The sequence below is a fragment of the Homo sapiens genome, chromosome 5 (genome assembly GCF_000001405.40).
Source record: "Homo sapiens chromosome 5, GRCh38.p14 Primary Assembly".
Classification (NCBI taxonomy): domain Eukaryota; kingdom Metazoa; phylum Chordata; class Mammalia; order Primates; family Hominidae; genus Homo; species Homo sapiens.
Genome location: NC_000005.10, coordinates 157,387,810 through 157,402,652, shown reverse-complemented (window position 1 = coordinate 157,402,652; position 14,843 = coordinate 157,387,810). Strand labels below are relative to the sequence as shown.

Below are 14,843 nucleotides of genomic sequence, written 5' to 3'. Positions count from 1 at the left end.
CTGGCACTAGTGTTAGTGGGTCAAGTGGGCCAACTCTTAGGTCTCCTTTTGGCCTGGCTCAGGTGTCAGCCGTGGCAGCAGAGGGCAGGGCACGTGAGTAGATTCTCAAGTCCCTTAGGCAGTGGGCATAGCATGAGCAATTGGCAGTAGCAGTGGTTGGACAATTTTCTGGCTATCAAGTGGTCCATGCTAGTGTTGGTGGTGGCTATGATACACTTGTAGGTGGTGCATGTGGGTGGGTGCTAGTTGTGGTGGTAGTGGCAGGTTGGGTGAGCCTGTTTTCAGCCCCCTGGAAGGAATACTCACATGCCAGTGGTGGTGAATGGGGCAGGGTGATTTCCAGGCCCCTGGATGGTGTGCTTGGGCACTGAGGGGGGAATGTAGCCAGGCTGGGTAGGCATGTCTTTAGGCCCCCCAGTGGTATGTGCAGGTGCTGGCTATGATAGGCAGGAGCAGGGTGATCCCTAGGCCCCCAGAAGAATGCTTGGGTGGAGGTGGCAGCTGCACTGTGGCCTTGCTCCTGGGGAGTGTGGGGTTGGTTTAAGTGGCAGCAGCCATAAATCGGTGCCTGAGGAGCTCATGCTTTGGCCTTAGGTGGTGGCTATTTACAGGGTAGCCTTTCCTCAGGATGTTCTTATTTTATTTTAGTTTTTCAGAGACAGGGCCTAGCTTTGTTGCTCAGACTATAGTGCAGTGGTGTGATCATAGCTCATTATAACTTTGAGCTCCTGGCTCAAGTGATTCTCCTGCCTCAGCCTCCTGAGTAGTTAGGACAGCAGGTACACACCACCATGAGTAGCTAACTTTATTTTTTTAAAGACAGAATCTTGCTATGTTGCCCAGGGTAGTCTTGAACTTGTGGCCTCAAGTAATCCTCCCACCTCGGTCCCCCTGCTCAAGCACTGGGATTGCAGGTATAAGTTAGCACACCCTGATTCAGTCTGCTTTTAAATGGCTGGTGGCCCTGCTACTGGGGGTGGCAGGGTTGCTAGCCATGGCTGGCATTTTGACCCTGGCAGCAGCAGCCAATAGTAGTACCTGGCTGCCTGTAGAAGGATGTCAATGGGGCTCCAGGGATATGGAGGTATAGGAGCTATTGGGCTCCAGGCAAGAATGCAGTCCAATGAGGGCTAGGCTCTCAAAATAATGCTTTGTTATCGTGGCTTATGTCTCAAGGTGTGTGTGGGGGCCTAGTGTGAGCTCTGTCTCTGGAGCAATGGCGTTTCATGGTCTCCAGGCAGCTCCCTATGTTAGTCTCAGGGTGTGCGTGGGTTGTGAGGCTCTCCCTTGGCTAGGATTACAGGAGTCTGTAGTGGGAATGTGGACCACCCAGGGTCTCTTACTTACCCTTACTTCCCCTTTTACGACATTGGGGAACCTCTAGGCTCCTAATTGATTCCAGCCCAGCAGGCTGCTTTGCTTCCTTCTTCTGCCTTGTTTCTTATCACTTCTGTGTTGAATTTTAGCCTTCTCTCTTAGACAGTCTATTCAATTGTGATTAACTACCTGCTGGTTTGGTTCTTCTTTGTGGAAGAGGAGAGTACTAGATGCCTCTAGTCAGCAATCTTGAAGCCCTTCTTGTTTTTTTCTTTTAAAAAAAAGAATGAAAAAATCTTGCTGTTTTTTTTTTCTTTTTACCACTTTGAAATACAAGCCTCCTCCCTTCTGGCCTCCGTAGTTTGAGAATCTCATAATCTTACTGAGAATCCTTTGTATTTGATGAGTCACTTCTCCCTTGCTGCTTTCAAGATTCTCTTCATCTTTGTCTTTCAATGATTTGATTAGAATGTCTTTCTTTATAGGTCTCCTCAAATTCATCCTACTTGTAGTGAGCTTCTTGGGTATTTATAACCATATCTTTCATCAAAGTTGGGAATTTTTTGGCTATTACATCTTCAAAAAATATCTCTGCCCTTTGTCTCTCTTCTGAGACTCCCACAATGGGTATATTGGTTCACTTAATGATGTCCCATGGGTCCCTTAGGCTCTGTTAATGTCCCTGCAATCTTTTTTCTGTTCATCAAACTTGTTAATTTCAATTGTCCTATCTTCAAGTTCAAGAATTCTTTCTTCTGCCTGCTCAAATCTGACTTTGAAGTCTTCTAGAATATTTTTTCATTTCTGTTGTACGTTTCAACTCTAGAATTTTTGTTTTCTCTTTTTATTGATATTTTCATCTTATTCATATGTTATTTCTTGACTTTCTCCATGTCTTTCTCTAGTTCTTTCAGCATCTAAGACAGATGTTTTAAAGTCTTTGGTAGTTCTACCATCTAATGTTTCTCATGGATAGTTTCTATTTTTTTCTTCCTTTAAATCAGCTATACTTCCCTGCTTCTTTGTATGCCTTGTGATTTTGTTAAAAACTGGACATGGGAAGCTAAAAGTATGGTATTTCTGGAAATTGGGTTCTTTCTTTTCCTCCAAGCCTTGCTGTTTGTTTTTGTCTTTATTTATTTTTTTAAATCATTGTAGGCTGCCTCCATGCTAAAGATCAGCCTGAGGTGTAAGCTTAAGGTCTTCTCAGATCTTTTTTGAGCTTGTGCCTTTTCCTGTGCATACAGGGTAACTTTCTAATTTCCTCCTTTTATGTAGTTGTTTTTGAATGTCCTCATCTTTAATGTCTGGCTCCCAAAAAGGGAAAAAGAGAAAAATGAAGTGGGCGTATACAGGGAAGAAAAAGGACACTGGCCTTTTACATCCCTTGGAAGTTGCTTCAGTTGGGGTGGAGAGTGGCTTGTGACAATGGCTGCCTGCTTGATGCTTACACCTCCATGATCAGAAGCAGCAATCAGCCATCAGCCATCAGAACATAGATCCCTGATATTTGGAGGACAGGGTCCTTATTGCCCACCCTGGCTTGTGCAGGAACACATGTACAGCTTCCTGCCATGGGGCAGGGGTGGGGTATGGGAGGTAGGTTGGCAAATGGGTAGCGGCTGGTGAACCAAGAGCTGAAGTTGAGCAAAATGAACTGTTGTTTACTGTCCAAGCCTTCCCCTGGAAGTTGCAAGCCTTGAATAAAATCCAGAGTTCCAAAATAGTTACATCACATTCTGCCAGTGTGATTGTCTTATAGGTGTGGAGATGGATTCCTTGGCCTTTCTACTCCACCATATTCCTGTACTTCTCTTTTTTTCCCTAATCTTGTAAATAGTGAGTGTGCAAGGGGTGTTCCACAAAGAATAGCATCCCAGCCTTCAAACTGTCCAAGGATCCCAGAGACACACTTTCTCCAGATTCATCCCCAGTGTTCTGGGCTAAATTGTGCCATGTCCCCAACCCATGCCCAAGTTCTAGCCCTCAGTAGCTCAGAATGTGGCTGTATTTGCAAATAGTGTCTCTAAAGAAGTCATTAAGTTAAAATGAGGTCACTAGCGTGGGCTGTAATCCAACATGACTGGTCTCCTTATAAAAAAATAAGTGGCCAGGCACAGTGGCTTATGCATGTAATCCCAGCACTTTGGGAGGCCAAGGTGGGTGGATCACGAGGTCAGGAGTTCAAGACTAGCCCAGCCAAGATGGTGAAACCCTGTCTCTACTAAAAACACAAAAATTAGCTGGGTGTGGTGGTGGGCACCTGTAATCCCAGCTACTTGGGAGGCTGAGGCAGAGAATTGCTTCTCTGCCTGGTGGAGGCAGAAGGTGGAGGTTGTAGTGAGCCAAGATCCCACCGCTGCACTCCAGCCTGGGCGACAGAGTGAGACTCTGTCTCAAAAAACACACACACAACACAAAAAAAGGTTAAGACACATGAGTTGAAGACCATGTGAAAACACAGGGAGAAAGATAAGTCACCCACAAACCAAGAAGAGAGACCCTGGGGAAAGAAACCAACTCTGCTGACACCTTGATCATCGATGTCCAGCTCCTAGAACTGTGAGAGAAAGAATTTCTGTTGCTTAAACCACTTGGTTTGTAGTATTTGTTATGACAGCCCTGGCACACTTGTACCCCCAGTTATGGTATTCTATCCCACTGTCAAAATGCTTCCTCTTCCCATTTGAAATCTTTCAATAATTTGTCAGGCCCTTGCTTCTCTAATTGTGCCCTCATATCATAATTTCCTGCATGTCAGTGGTCCTCCTCCTGTGGGAATTAAAAAAAAATCTTACCATGAATTTGCATACCCTTAGGCAAATGTTTTTCAAAGTGTGTTCCAAGAGAGGATGATTAACCTTGCAGAGAAAGGGGTTTCCAAGGTAATGGCCATTGATATGGTTTGGCTGTGTCCCCACCCAAATCTCAACTTGAATTGTATCTCCTAGAATTCCCCCATGTTGTGGGAGGGACCCAGTGGGAAGTAATTGAATTATGGGGGCCAGTCTTTCCCCTGCTGTTCTCTTGATAGTGAATAAGTCTCAGAAGATCTGATGCATTTATCAGGGGTTTCTGCTTTTGCTTCTTCCTCATTTTTCCCTTGCTGCCACCATGTAAGAAGTGCCTTTTGCCTCCTGCCATGATTCTGAGGGCTCCCCAGCCAAGTGGAACTGTAAGTCCAATTAAACCTCTTTTTCTTTTCAGTCTCGGATATGTCTTTATCAGCAAGCAGTGTGAAAACTGACTAATACAGTAAATTAGTAGTGGGAGTGGGGCATTGCTGAAAAGATACCCAAAAATGTGGAAATGACTTTGGAACTGGGTAACAGGCAGACGTTGGAACAGTTTGGAGGACTCAGAAGACAGGATAATGTGGGAAAGTTTGGAACCTCCTAGATACTTGAATAGCTTGGACAAAAATGTTGATAGTGATATGAGCAATAAGGTCCAGGCTGAGGTGGTCTGAGAAGGAGATGACAAACTTCTTGGGAGCAAAGGTGACTCTTGTTATGTTTCAGCAAAGAGACTGGTGGCATTTTGCCCCTGCCCTAGAGATTTGTGGAACTTTCAACTTGAGAGAGACGATTTAGGGTATCTGGTGGAAGAAATTTCTAAGCAGCAAAGCATTCAAAAGGTACCTTGGGTGGGGTTAAAAGCATTCCATTTTAAAAGGGTAAAAGCATAAAAGTTCAGAAAATTTGCAGCCTCACAAAGCAGTAGAAAAGAAAAACCCATTTTTTGAGGAGAAATTGAAGCCAGCTGCAGCAATTTGCATAAGTAGCAAGGAGCCTAATGTTAATCCCCAAGACCATGAGGAAAATGTCTCCAGGCCATGTCAGAGACCTTCACGGCAGCCCCTCCCATCACAGGCTCAGAGGCCCAGAAGGAAAAAGTGGTTTCATGGGCTGGAACACAGGGTCCCTGTGCTGTGTGCAGCCTAGGGACTTGATGCCCTGTGTCCCAGCCACTCCAGCCATGGCTGAAAGGGGCCAATGTAGAGCTCGGCTGTGGCTTCAGAGGGTGGAAGCCCTAAGCCTTGGCAGCTTCCACATAGTGTTGAGCCTGAGGGAGCACAGAAGTCAAGAACTGAGGTTTGGTGACTTCCACCTAGATTTCAGAAGACATATGGGAAACTCTTGGATGCCTAGGCAAAAGTTTGCTGCAGGAGTGGGACCCTCAAGGAGCTTCTGCTAGGGCAATGCGGAAGGGAAATGGGTTGGAGCTGCCACACCGAGTCCCTACTGGGGCACTGCCTAGTGGAGTTGTGAGAAGAGAGCTACCATCCTCCAGACCCCAGAATGGTAGATCCACCAACAGCTTGTACTGTGCACATGGAAAAGCTGTAGACACTCAATATCAGCCCATGAAAGCAGCCAGGAGGGAGGCTGTACCCTGCAAAGCTACAGGGGTGGAGTTGCCCAAGACCAGGGATCCCACCTCTTGCATCAGTGTGACCTGGATGTGAGACCTGGAGTCAAAGGAGCTCAATTTGGATTTTTAAAATTTGACCACTCTGCTGGATTTTGACTTGCATGGGGCCTGTAACCCCTGTGTTTTGGCCAATTTCTCCCATTTGGAATGGCTGTATCTACCCAATACCTGTACCCCCATTGTATTTAGGAAGTAACTAGCTTGCTTTTCATTTTACAGACTCGTAGGCAGAAGGGACTTGTCTTGTTTCAGATGTGACTTTGGACAATGGACTTTTGGGTTAATGCTGAAATTAGTTAAGACTTTGGGGGACTGTTGGGAAGGCATGATTTGTTTTGAAAGGTGAGGACATGAGATTTGGAGGGGCCAGGGGCAGAAGGATATGGCTTGTCTGTGTCCCCACCCGAATCTCAACTTGTATCTCCCAGAATTCCCACGTGTTGTGGGAGGGACCCAGGGGGAGGTAATTGAATCATGGGGACCCGTCTTTCCCATGTTGTTCTCATGATAGTGAATAAGTCTCATGAGATCTGATGGGTTTATTAGGGGTTTCCGCTTTAGCCTTTTCCTCGTTTTTCTCTTGCTACTGCCATGTAAGAAGTGCCTTTCCCCTCCTGCCATGATTCTGAGGCCTCCCTGGCCATGTCCAACTGTAAGTCCAATTAAACCTCTTTCTTCCCAGTCTTGGGTATGTCTTTATCCCCGTGTGAAAACAGACTAATAAAACCATCTAGGAGATAGGGTGTTGATCTAGACTGATAAGGTTCTGCAGCACTCCTCAGAGTCTTATGGATCTTCGAAGGGAAAGATCATGAAGTGTTCCCCAAATTTATCTTCTTTGGAACCCTTTTTTCACTGAGCATCTAATAGCTAATAGCCCTCCCACTACACTAGCTCAAATATGACTCCTTGTGATGGCAATTTTATGAGGTGATGACATACGTTGAGAAAGACTTTGAGTGTGTGAAGTAGACCCCTCAAAGTGCACCAGTGGGAAATTACCTAGAATCAGGATATCAGAGCTAGAAGAGATCAACTTGTCCAACTTGACAGAAGAGGAAACAGCCCTAGGACTCATCTTAGTGGATGACCTTTAGGAAAGCTTGTGCTATGTGAAATGTGAGGCTCAATTTGTTAAAGATGTAATCCCCCACGTGGGAAAGCAAGCAAAGCCATTAGTTTATTGTGCATTAACCTATATTTTTCTTTGATTCTGTTTTAGGTTGTTTGCTTAGTAATTAGTTTTAATATGGCCTTCTACAGGTCAATGAGGATTAGAATAGAACCAGGAATCAAGACCAAGTTGCTGGTTTTACTAGTTTGGAAGCAGTTTTAATGAAGATGGAAATGTTTATCAACTCAACACAGGTACCCCCAAAATACAAATCAAAATATCATCTTCAGCTGCATAGCAAATATGATTTAAGAATTTAACATCATTATTTGATCACAAGCGTAAATATGTCACCATAAATAAATGTAAATTCATTGTACAAAAATTCCCAACAACTCTTAATACAAATATGGTACATTTGACAGTTTCTGAAACAGATTATTTTTAAAACTTTTTAAAACCTAAGCTTTATTTTTTTCCTGGTTATTAGACACACACAAAAAAAATAAAAAGAGGCTGGGGCAGTAATGCCAAGGAGGAAAGAATATTAAACTCATTGGGTGTTCGGAAATCAGTGCCACTGGCAAGCCAGGGAAATGAAATCTTTCTGCTGAAAGGGAAGACCTCAGTCTACTGGGATCAAGTCTCCTGAAGGTAATGTGACTCGGCCCAGAGGGTCAAATTTAGGGATATGAATGTGGGGTGAGAGAGGTGGGTTATTGAAATAGAAATCTCATCAAATAGATTATTCAAATCTCCATGAAGTCGTGGTCAAGGATTTGGATGGAACTCTAGCCATCTATCAGCTACAGAGAGCCAGCTACCATCCTCAGACAGGACTAAAGATGTAGAAGGATCTGGAACTTTGACATTTTATATGTTTTGAAAGCATGTTCTGCCATCTGGGATAATGTGTCTCTTTTGCCTCTGGAACACATCTATGGTCATCAAGAAGGAAAAGTCAGAAACCAGAATAGAAGGTGGTACCTCCAGACAGGAGGATCTGCCAGTTACTACTTGGAACCTCCTCCCTTCTCTCTTCCCTGTATGATGTATTTTCTTTCATGGCTTAGTGGTAGCTCAAAGCTCAAGGTGACCAGAATGATTCCCTTACAGCAGTGGTTCCCAAACATTGATGTGCAACAGAACAACTTGGGTAGTTTGTAGAAAGGGCAGATTTCCTGGCCCTATTCCCAGAGATTCAGAATTAGTAGGTTTGAGGTGGGGCCCAGGAATCTGCACTCAAATGTGCTACTCTCAGGATCTGACCTAAGGGGCCTTTCATATGTGGCCCCCTTTCCTCACCGGAGGACATAAGTGCATCACACAAACCTCTTGCTGTGGGCACTTCCTTTGGGGTTAAAAATGGGACCATTTGATTAAGGCAACCATTGCTAACCATCTTACTTCCCTGGGCTGGAGAAATATCAAATGTCACATTTTATGTTCTTAAAATCTCAGGGCCACAGATTTCCTTTGACAATGACATGCTCTGTAACATGAAATTTATATCCTAAAGCCTTTTGTCCTTCCTTCTTACCACACTCGGTGGGAGATTCTGCAGAAGACTTTTGGTTCAGTCTAGAAAATGGAAGTAAATGTTACCCCTGGGAGAGAAGCCACACCCGAAAGTCTAACTTAAGGAATGTAAAGAGAACAGCAAGTTGAGAGTAAAAGCTAAAATGTTCCAAGAATCTTTCAGCTTCTAGGACAATGAAGGTTCTGATTCCCTAAAAGAGGACTCTTCTTTGGGGGCAGGGGGTGTATCTTGGTATTAAAAGCTCATTGACAATTACTATTCCTCCTCCTCACCTCTGTGTTTCCAAGACGTTTTGGGCTTCTGTGGAAATAACCCCTTAATATTTTCTTTCTTGTGGAAATGTTCCTTGATAAGCAATTCTGTGCCAAGACGTTGTCCCTAATTTGGTCACTGGCTAATGCTATAGGCAGTGCTATGACTGATTTGTTCAAAGCTGCTTCCCCTATGTGGCCCAATGCTAAGCCTTTCCTGAAGGAATAAGGGAACCATCTCACCATCAAGCAGCTGAGATGGCCTGAAAGCATCCTGTTTGGACTATGACATTTCTGGCTGTGTTCATACATACTGCTTCCCCACAGCAGGCCTGATCAGTCTCCTACCCCACCTGCATAGAGTGTGATACAGCTGTGAATGCTTTTTGGACCTCTCTCTAGGGCTTCCCTGAGAGAGGGGAGTTAGAATGGGGCTTTGGGAAGCCTATGTGGTAGAATCCCTGGTACCCAGAGTGGGAGAAGATGACACCCGGGGCACTGCAGGGAGGGAACCAGGAGAGATGAAGTAGTAAGCTGAGGCATGCCCTTCTGGCCAGGCTGGCGTCTCTGGGCATGGCCACATCTGTTCACAGTCTGAGACTTGAGTCCTGGGGTCACACAAGGGCACTGGGTAGGAGATGTCTATCTTGGGAGGAGGTCTTGGGAAGCAACCACAGATAGGTGGGATGATGGGATGGAGAAAGGGTGAAACTAGGAGTTCTTAATATAGTTGAGGGGGGAGAAAAGAAAAAGCACACACTGCCCTGTTTACTTTTTTTTTTTTTTTTTCATTTATGCTATGGAGAAACCAGCATGGAGATGTCATGGGAGAGCATGCACAGGCCCCGCCCTAGGGAGTGGTGATGTGTTTGGGGAGGTGCTTGTTTCCAGGTCCATCCCACACGTTGTCCAGTTGGATCCTATGGCAGGCTGGCTGTGGCTTTCTCTCTCCTGCTTCTCTTCCTCCTCCAGATAAGGGTCTGCAGGATCTTCTGCTTAGCAAGTGGTGGCCAAGGACTGGTGGATGGGTGGCTGGAAGCAGCGCACATGCTCCACAGTGGAACTGTCTGTCTCCACGGACTTCATGTATTTGTTCAGGATGGCAAAAACCTCATTGTTCAAGATCTGATACTTCCTGATCCGGTCGGCCATCTTCTTCAGGGGCTACAGAAGGAAGGGGATGTTCAAGTTAGGGCAGGACAAAGTGGGGGTGGAAAGAGGGAGTAACAGGAGAAGTCACTGAGGTCCAGGGTCCCCTGCATCAGTGATCATGTCACTTTCTTAAAGTCCTTTTATGGAATCCCCTGGATCTGGCAATCAAGTGTTAACTGGACCGTAAAAACCCTCTCCAAGTTTTAAAACGATCTACAGAGCTACAATAATCAACAACACTGTGGCACTGGTAAAAAGGTAGATGTACAGATGAATAAAACAGAATAGAGAGCCCAGAAATACACTATTACACATATGATCAAATGATTTTCAACAAGGGTGCCAAGACTGTTCAATGGGGGAAACAGCCTTTTCAACAAAAGGTGCTGGGAAATATGGATACCCACACAAAAAATAACAATGGACGCTTACCTTATACCATATACAAAAAATTAACTCAGAATGGATTAGAGACGTAACCATGAGATTAAACTGAAATTCTTAAAAGAGAATATAGGGGAAAAATTTTCATGATGTTGGATTTGGCAATAATATCTTGGGGTATGACATCAAAAGCAAAGGCAAAAAGTTGCACTACATCAAAATTGAAAACTTTCATGCATCAAAGGGACACCATGAGAATGAAAAGGCAACCGAAAAATAGAAAATAATCACAAATTATATCTGATAAGTAATATCTAGAATATGTAAAGAACTTCAACTCAACAAAAATGACTCAATTAAAAAAATGGACAAAGGACTTGAATAGACATTTTTCTAAAGAAGATATACAAATGGCCAATAACACATGAATATAGCACTCAGCAGTGACAGTCATTAGGGAAATTCAAATCAAAATCACAACAAGATAACTTTTTCACCCCTCAGGATGACTATTATTAAAGAATAAGTGCTGATGAGGATGTGGAGAAATTGGAACTCTTGTGTACTGCTGGTGGGAATGTAAAATTGTGCAGCCACTATGGAAAACAGAATGGCAGTTTCTAAAAAGTTAAACATAGAATTACCATACGATCCAGCAATTCCACGTCCAGGTATATACTCAAAAGAATGGAAAGCAGAAATTTGTAGAGTTATTTGTACACCCATGTTTCATGGTAGCCAAAATTAACCATTTTCAAAAATACCCAAAAGGTGACAGCAACCTGAGTGGACAAACACAACGTGGTCTATATACACAATGCAATATTATACAGCCATAAAAAGGATGGAAGTTTGGACACTACAACATGGATGAACCTTGAAGACATCCTAACTAAAATAAGCCAGTCACGAAAAGACAAATACTGTGTGATTCTATTTATATGAGGTACCTAGAGTAGTCAAATGCATAGAGAAAGTAGAATGATGGTTACCAGGGGCTGGGGAGAAAATGGAATTATTTTTTAATGGGCCCGGAGTTTCAGTTGGGGAAGATGAAAAATCTCTGGAGGTGGATGTTGGGAATGATTGTACAATACTTGTGTACTTCATGCCACTGAATCATATACTGAAAATTACCATTGAAACTATTTTATGTGTATTTTTTAAAAAAGCCCTTTGTGAGGTGGCTCTTACCTCTCTCTCCTCTCACTGGGTCCCTGAGACCCACCCTTCGATCCGCCTTCCTGCCTCAGTGCCTCTGCTGTCACTGTTGCTGTCTGGAGCATCCTACCCGCCCCATACCACCTTTGCTGCTTGGTTCTTTGCTGCGGGCCATTCTGGAGTCAGCCCAGACACAGCCTCCCTCTCCTGGGAAGCTTTCTCTGCCCTCAGCCTGGTTTAAGGGTCCTTCTCTCCCTTCCCATAGCAGCCTGGCTCACCCCACGCCAGTACCTATCCCATCCAGGTGCCCCGTACAACTCTGGTATTTGGTGAATATTTGTACAGGTGAGAAACTGGCATCAGCAGAGTCTGATTGGGACAGGGAAGATGTGCTCCCGGTCTGGAGCCCAGCCCTGCCCTTCGGGGTGAACTGATTCATGGCAGTAGGTGATGAGTGGGTGACTCACGACCTCACGACTTCCTCTAAGCAGGTCCCCAGCCTATAGTATCTTTGTACTTGCCGTGTGGGGAGCTGGCCTTCACAAGCAGCTCCTCCTTGTTTGCTTTTCTGGTAAAAGCCTGGTTGTCAGCCCAGCCCCACCTCCCAGGCCTTAGCCACCAGCCTGCTCACCACATTCTTAATGATTTCATCCTTCCCGTCCTGCCTCTGCACTTTTAGCAGGTGGTAACAGAAGTCGAACAGGTCAAAGCGACGCTGCTGGCCCAGCAGGACAATGATGGAGCAACCAGCCCAGTTCAAGCCATCGCCGAAACACTGCCTGGGAGCAGGGGGAGGAAGCAGCTGGAGTGAGAGGTCGGGGGAGGAGGGCAGGGAGGGAGGGAGCCTCATCTTGGGCCAGGAGTACAGCTACTAAGCAGGCCTGTCTTTGGGCCAAGTCTCTTAACCTATAAAATGGGTACAAAGGAAGCTGTGAGGGTGGGTTCATTAGTTGCAGGGATGGTAGTTATGTCATAAGTCCTTCCGGCCACAAATTACATTTGCATCACTAATGTAAAAAAAAAAAAAATCAGCTCTAAAGACGCTCTGAATTTGCAAGGAAAAACCCACCCAGCTGTTGAGATGTATGTGGCTGATTACTCCGTGCAGGTCAAAGGAGAATCTGTCTTGACTCTCTAAAGGAGCTAAAAGAACACCTAGCAGGTGAGGGGCCATTTCAAACCAGGAGGCCAACTGGCCAGAAGCAGGCTGAAAGGGAAGGGACAGGCCATGGTGGGCAGATGCTGCTGGGGTTGAGGCTGAGTCCTTTTGGTTCTGACAAAGCTCCAACTCTCAAGAGGCCTGGCCCCCAACTCTCAAGAGACCTAGGCAATTTGGATGGCAGTAGAGTCATCCTTTGGCTGTCTCTTTTGTCCTCAAGCAGCAGCCCCAACCCGGGCAGGTGTCCCCAGTTCCCCATCACTGTACTGGAAGCCTACAGGCTAGCGCTGCTCTGAAACAGCTTCATCAACACCACTTTCTCCAGGAAGCCTCCTCTCCCCACCACGCCTTTTTCCTAGAGCTCTTGGCTGCTGGAGGGGAGGCCTTGTCTGCCTTTCCACTCTGTCCTAGACATGTAGCTGGGTGAGGGCAGGAAGAACTAGCTCTGCTGTCTGCTCTAAGGACTCCTAAAGGCTCCTCATTTTCCAGTAGTACAGTGTAGTGGGGGTGAGGCAGGCAGTGAGGGTCTTACTATCAAACCCTTACTGGGCTCTTTCTTGCCAATGCAGTCAGCTCAACACACTCAACAAAGTAGTTGTTGGCCAACCACCCCCACCCCCTGCCCACGTTTCTGGCTGAACTCTGGCAGCCCCATGACTTGCAGGAGCACAGGCAGGTTGGGGGTAACCCTGCCTTCTCTGGGGGGTACTCACTCAGCTGTGAACTCGTTGGTTCCCACAGGGATGCAGTACACGAACTGCATGGCGCTCCACAGCCGGTGGAACTCCACACACTCATCGACGTGCATGACGCCATTGGTGGGCGGTGGGCCCCGCCAGATGGGGTCCTGCAGGTAGCTCCGAATGCGGGTCAGGATGACCTCGAACATGGACAGGCCACAGCACAGCCGCTCCTTGGTCAGGAGGTCACCCTCGCGAGCAATGGCGATTTGCTGGAAACAGAAGGGCACATACACCTTCTATCCACATCTTAGAGCCCATCTGCCACCTCCCACCACAGATTCCCGAACTCTGGAGCTGGCTGCACCTGAAATTGGTTCACCAGAACTGGTCTTGTTCAGAGCAGGGCACAAAATTGATGATCCTGAATGCAACAGCAGGGAAGTTTCATGGTAAGTCTTACTGGTGTTAAGTAAAATCCAGGCACCATCAGTAGCGGATTAATTTTTAAAATTATGATTTACCCACATAATGAATTCTGGATAGCCATTGAAAAGACTGACATGATACTACTAGTAGTACTACTGCTTCTACTATAATTACTACTAGCTTATGCTTTCTGAGTGTGGGTAATAAAGCAGGCCCTGTTCTAAGCACTTGATAGGTATTGAGTCCATTCCATCCCATGAGGTAGATGCCATTACTCTCCCCATTTTACAGACGAAGAAACTAAGGTTCAGAGAGGCAGCCAGTGAGTGTTAAAGCTCACACTTGACCCAGTAGTCTAGATCTATTGGTTAAGTTGTAAAGTAAATAGAACAAATTGCAGAAATGAATGTATACTACAATTCTACTTAAAAACATTGACAATGTACAATCACACAGATGAAAGTATGTGTGATGTGTGTGTGTAAAGCATATTTTAGAAGGACTAACATCAGTTGTGGGAACAGATGGGCTTGGAGTAGTGAGTGGGATTGTCACTCTTGACTTTAAATACTTCTGTACAGTTGAATGTGCTACAATGAGCATATGTTACTTTTAAAACTTGCCCATGATTTCAGATAATTATTTCCTCTAGAAGTGCTTCTTTGACAGTTACAAATGACCTCTATTAATAATGTAAACTGGCTTTTCATCTGGGTTCTGGCTACTGCATATCTAATAAGCAGCTGGCTAGACAGACTAGATGTCAAAACACATTACTACACATGTTATGAGTCAAAACATGTAGGGGTAGAGGTCCTGAAAGCTATCTGCAAAGTAAGGTAAATGTTAAAATCTGAGGTTAAAGTAAGGTCTCCAAATCTGTGAACAAAGCTAAAAAAGGCAGGCTTCTCACACTGAGAGATCCACAGAAGGGGACTTATGGGATCAGCTCCCCAGTGGGAGGTTTCACCAAGGAGCCATTTTACAGGGTGGCTGGGAGGCACCTGCCTGACCTACCCCGGAAGCTCACTCCCTGGAGGCCCCCAGGAAGAGAGGGTGACTTTTAAGTGAATCCATGAAGGGAAGGAAATCAGGAGACACCAATGCAGGAGTCTCTTATAAATGTGGACCATGAGTGTAGTTGTCATGACAACTACCAACTGAAAGAAATCTAGGAAAAAGATGAATTGGAGAAGTAGCTTGCCAATGTGTGTTTTAAACA

General features: G+C 45.3%; 1 protein-coding gene and 1 long non-coding RNA gene across 10 annotated transcripts in view, besides 1 other annotated feature; one reads left to right on the top strand and one right to left on the bottom strand.

Moving 5' to 3' along the window:
- Positions 1-14,843, top strand: part of NIPAL4-DT (NIPAL4 divergent transcript) — a 97,486-nt gene that overhangs the window by 57,448 nt on the left and 25,195 nt on the right. The gene's annotated exons all lie outside the window — the stretch shown is intronic.
- The window catches only part of CYFIP2 (cytoplasmic FMR1 interacting protein 2), a 129,472-nt gene continuing 121,687 nt past the window's right edge, over positions 7,059-14,843 (bottom strand). For all 8 annotated transcript variants that reach the window (XM_011534516.4, NM_001291722.2, NM_001037333.3 and 5 more), the window contains 3 exons: positions 13,226-13,464; positions 11,985-12,132; positions 7,059-9,820 (listed from right to left, as the gene is read on the bottom strand). In XM_011534516.4, the coding sequence (XP_011532818.1) occupies positions 9,653-9,820; positions 11,985-12,132; positions 13,226-13,464 (555 nt within the window). In that variant the 3' untranslated portion in view covers positions 7,059-9,652. The remainder of the gene's footprint in view (positions 9,821-11,984; positions 12,133-13,225; positions 13,465-14,843) is intronic.
- Positions 11,407-12,606: an enhancer, noted in NCBI's record as "P300/CBP strongly-dependent group 1 enhancer chr5:156817055-156818254 (GRCh37/hg19 assembly coordinates)". NCBI's record gives its function as "activates an origin of replication core promoter dependent on BRD2, BRD4, P300/CBP, MED14 and CDK7 cofactors, with strong dependence on P300/CBP, by STARR-seq in HCT116 cells {active_cell/tissue: HCT116}" and the evidence as "EXISTENCE:reporter gene assay evidence [ECO:0000049][PMID:35650434]".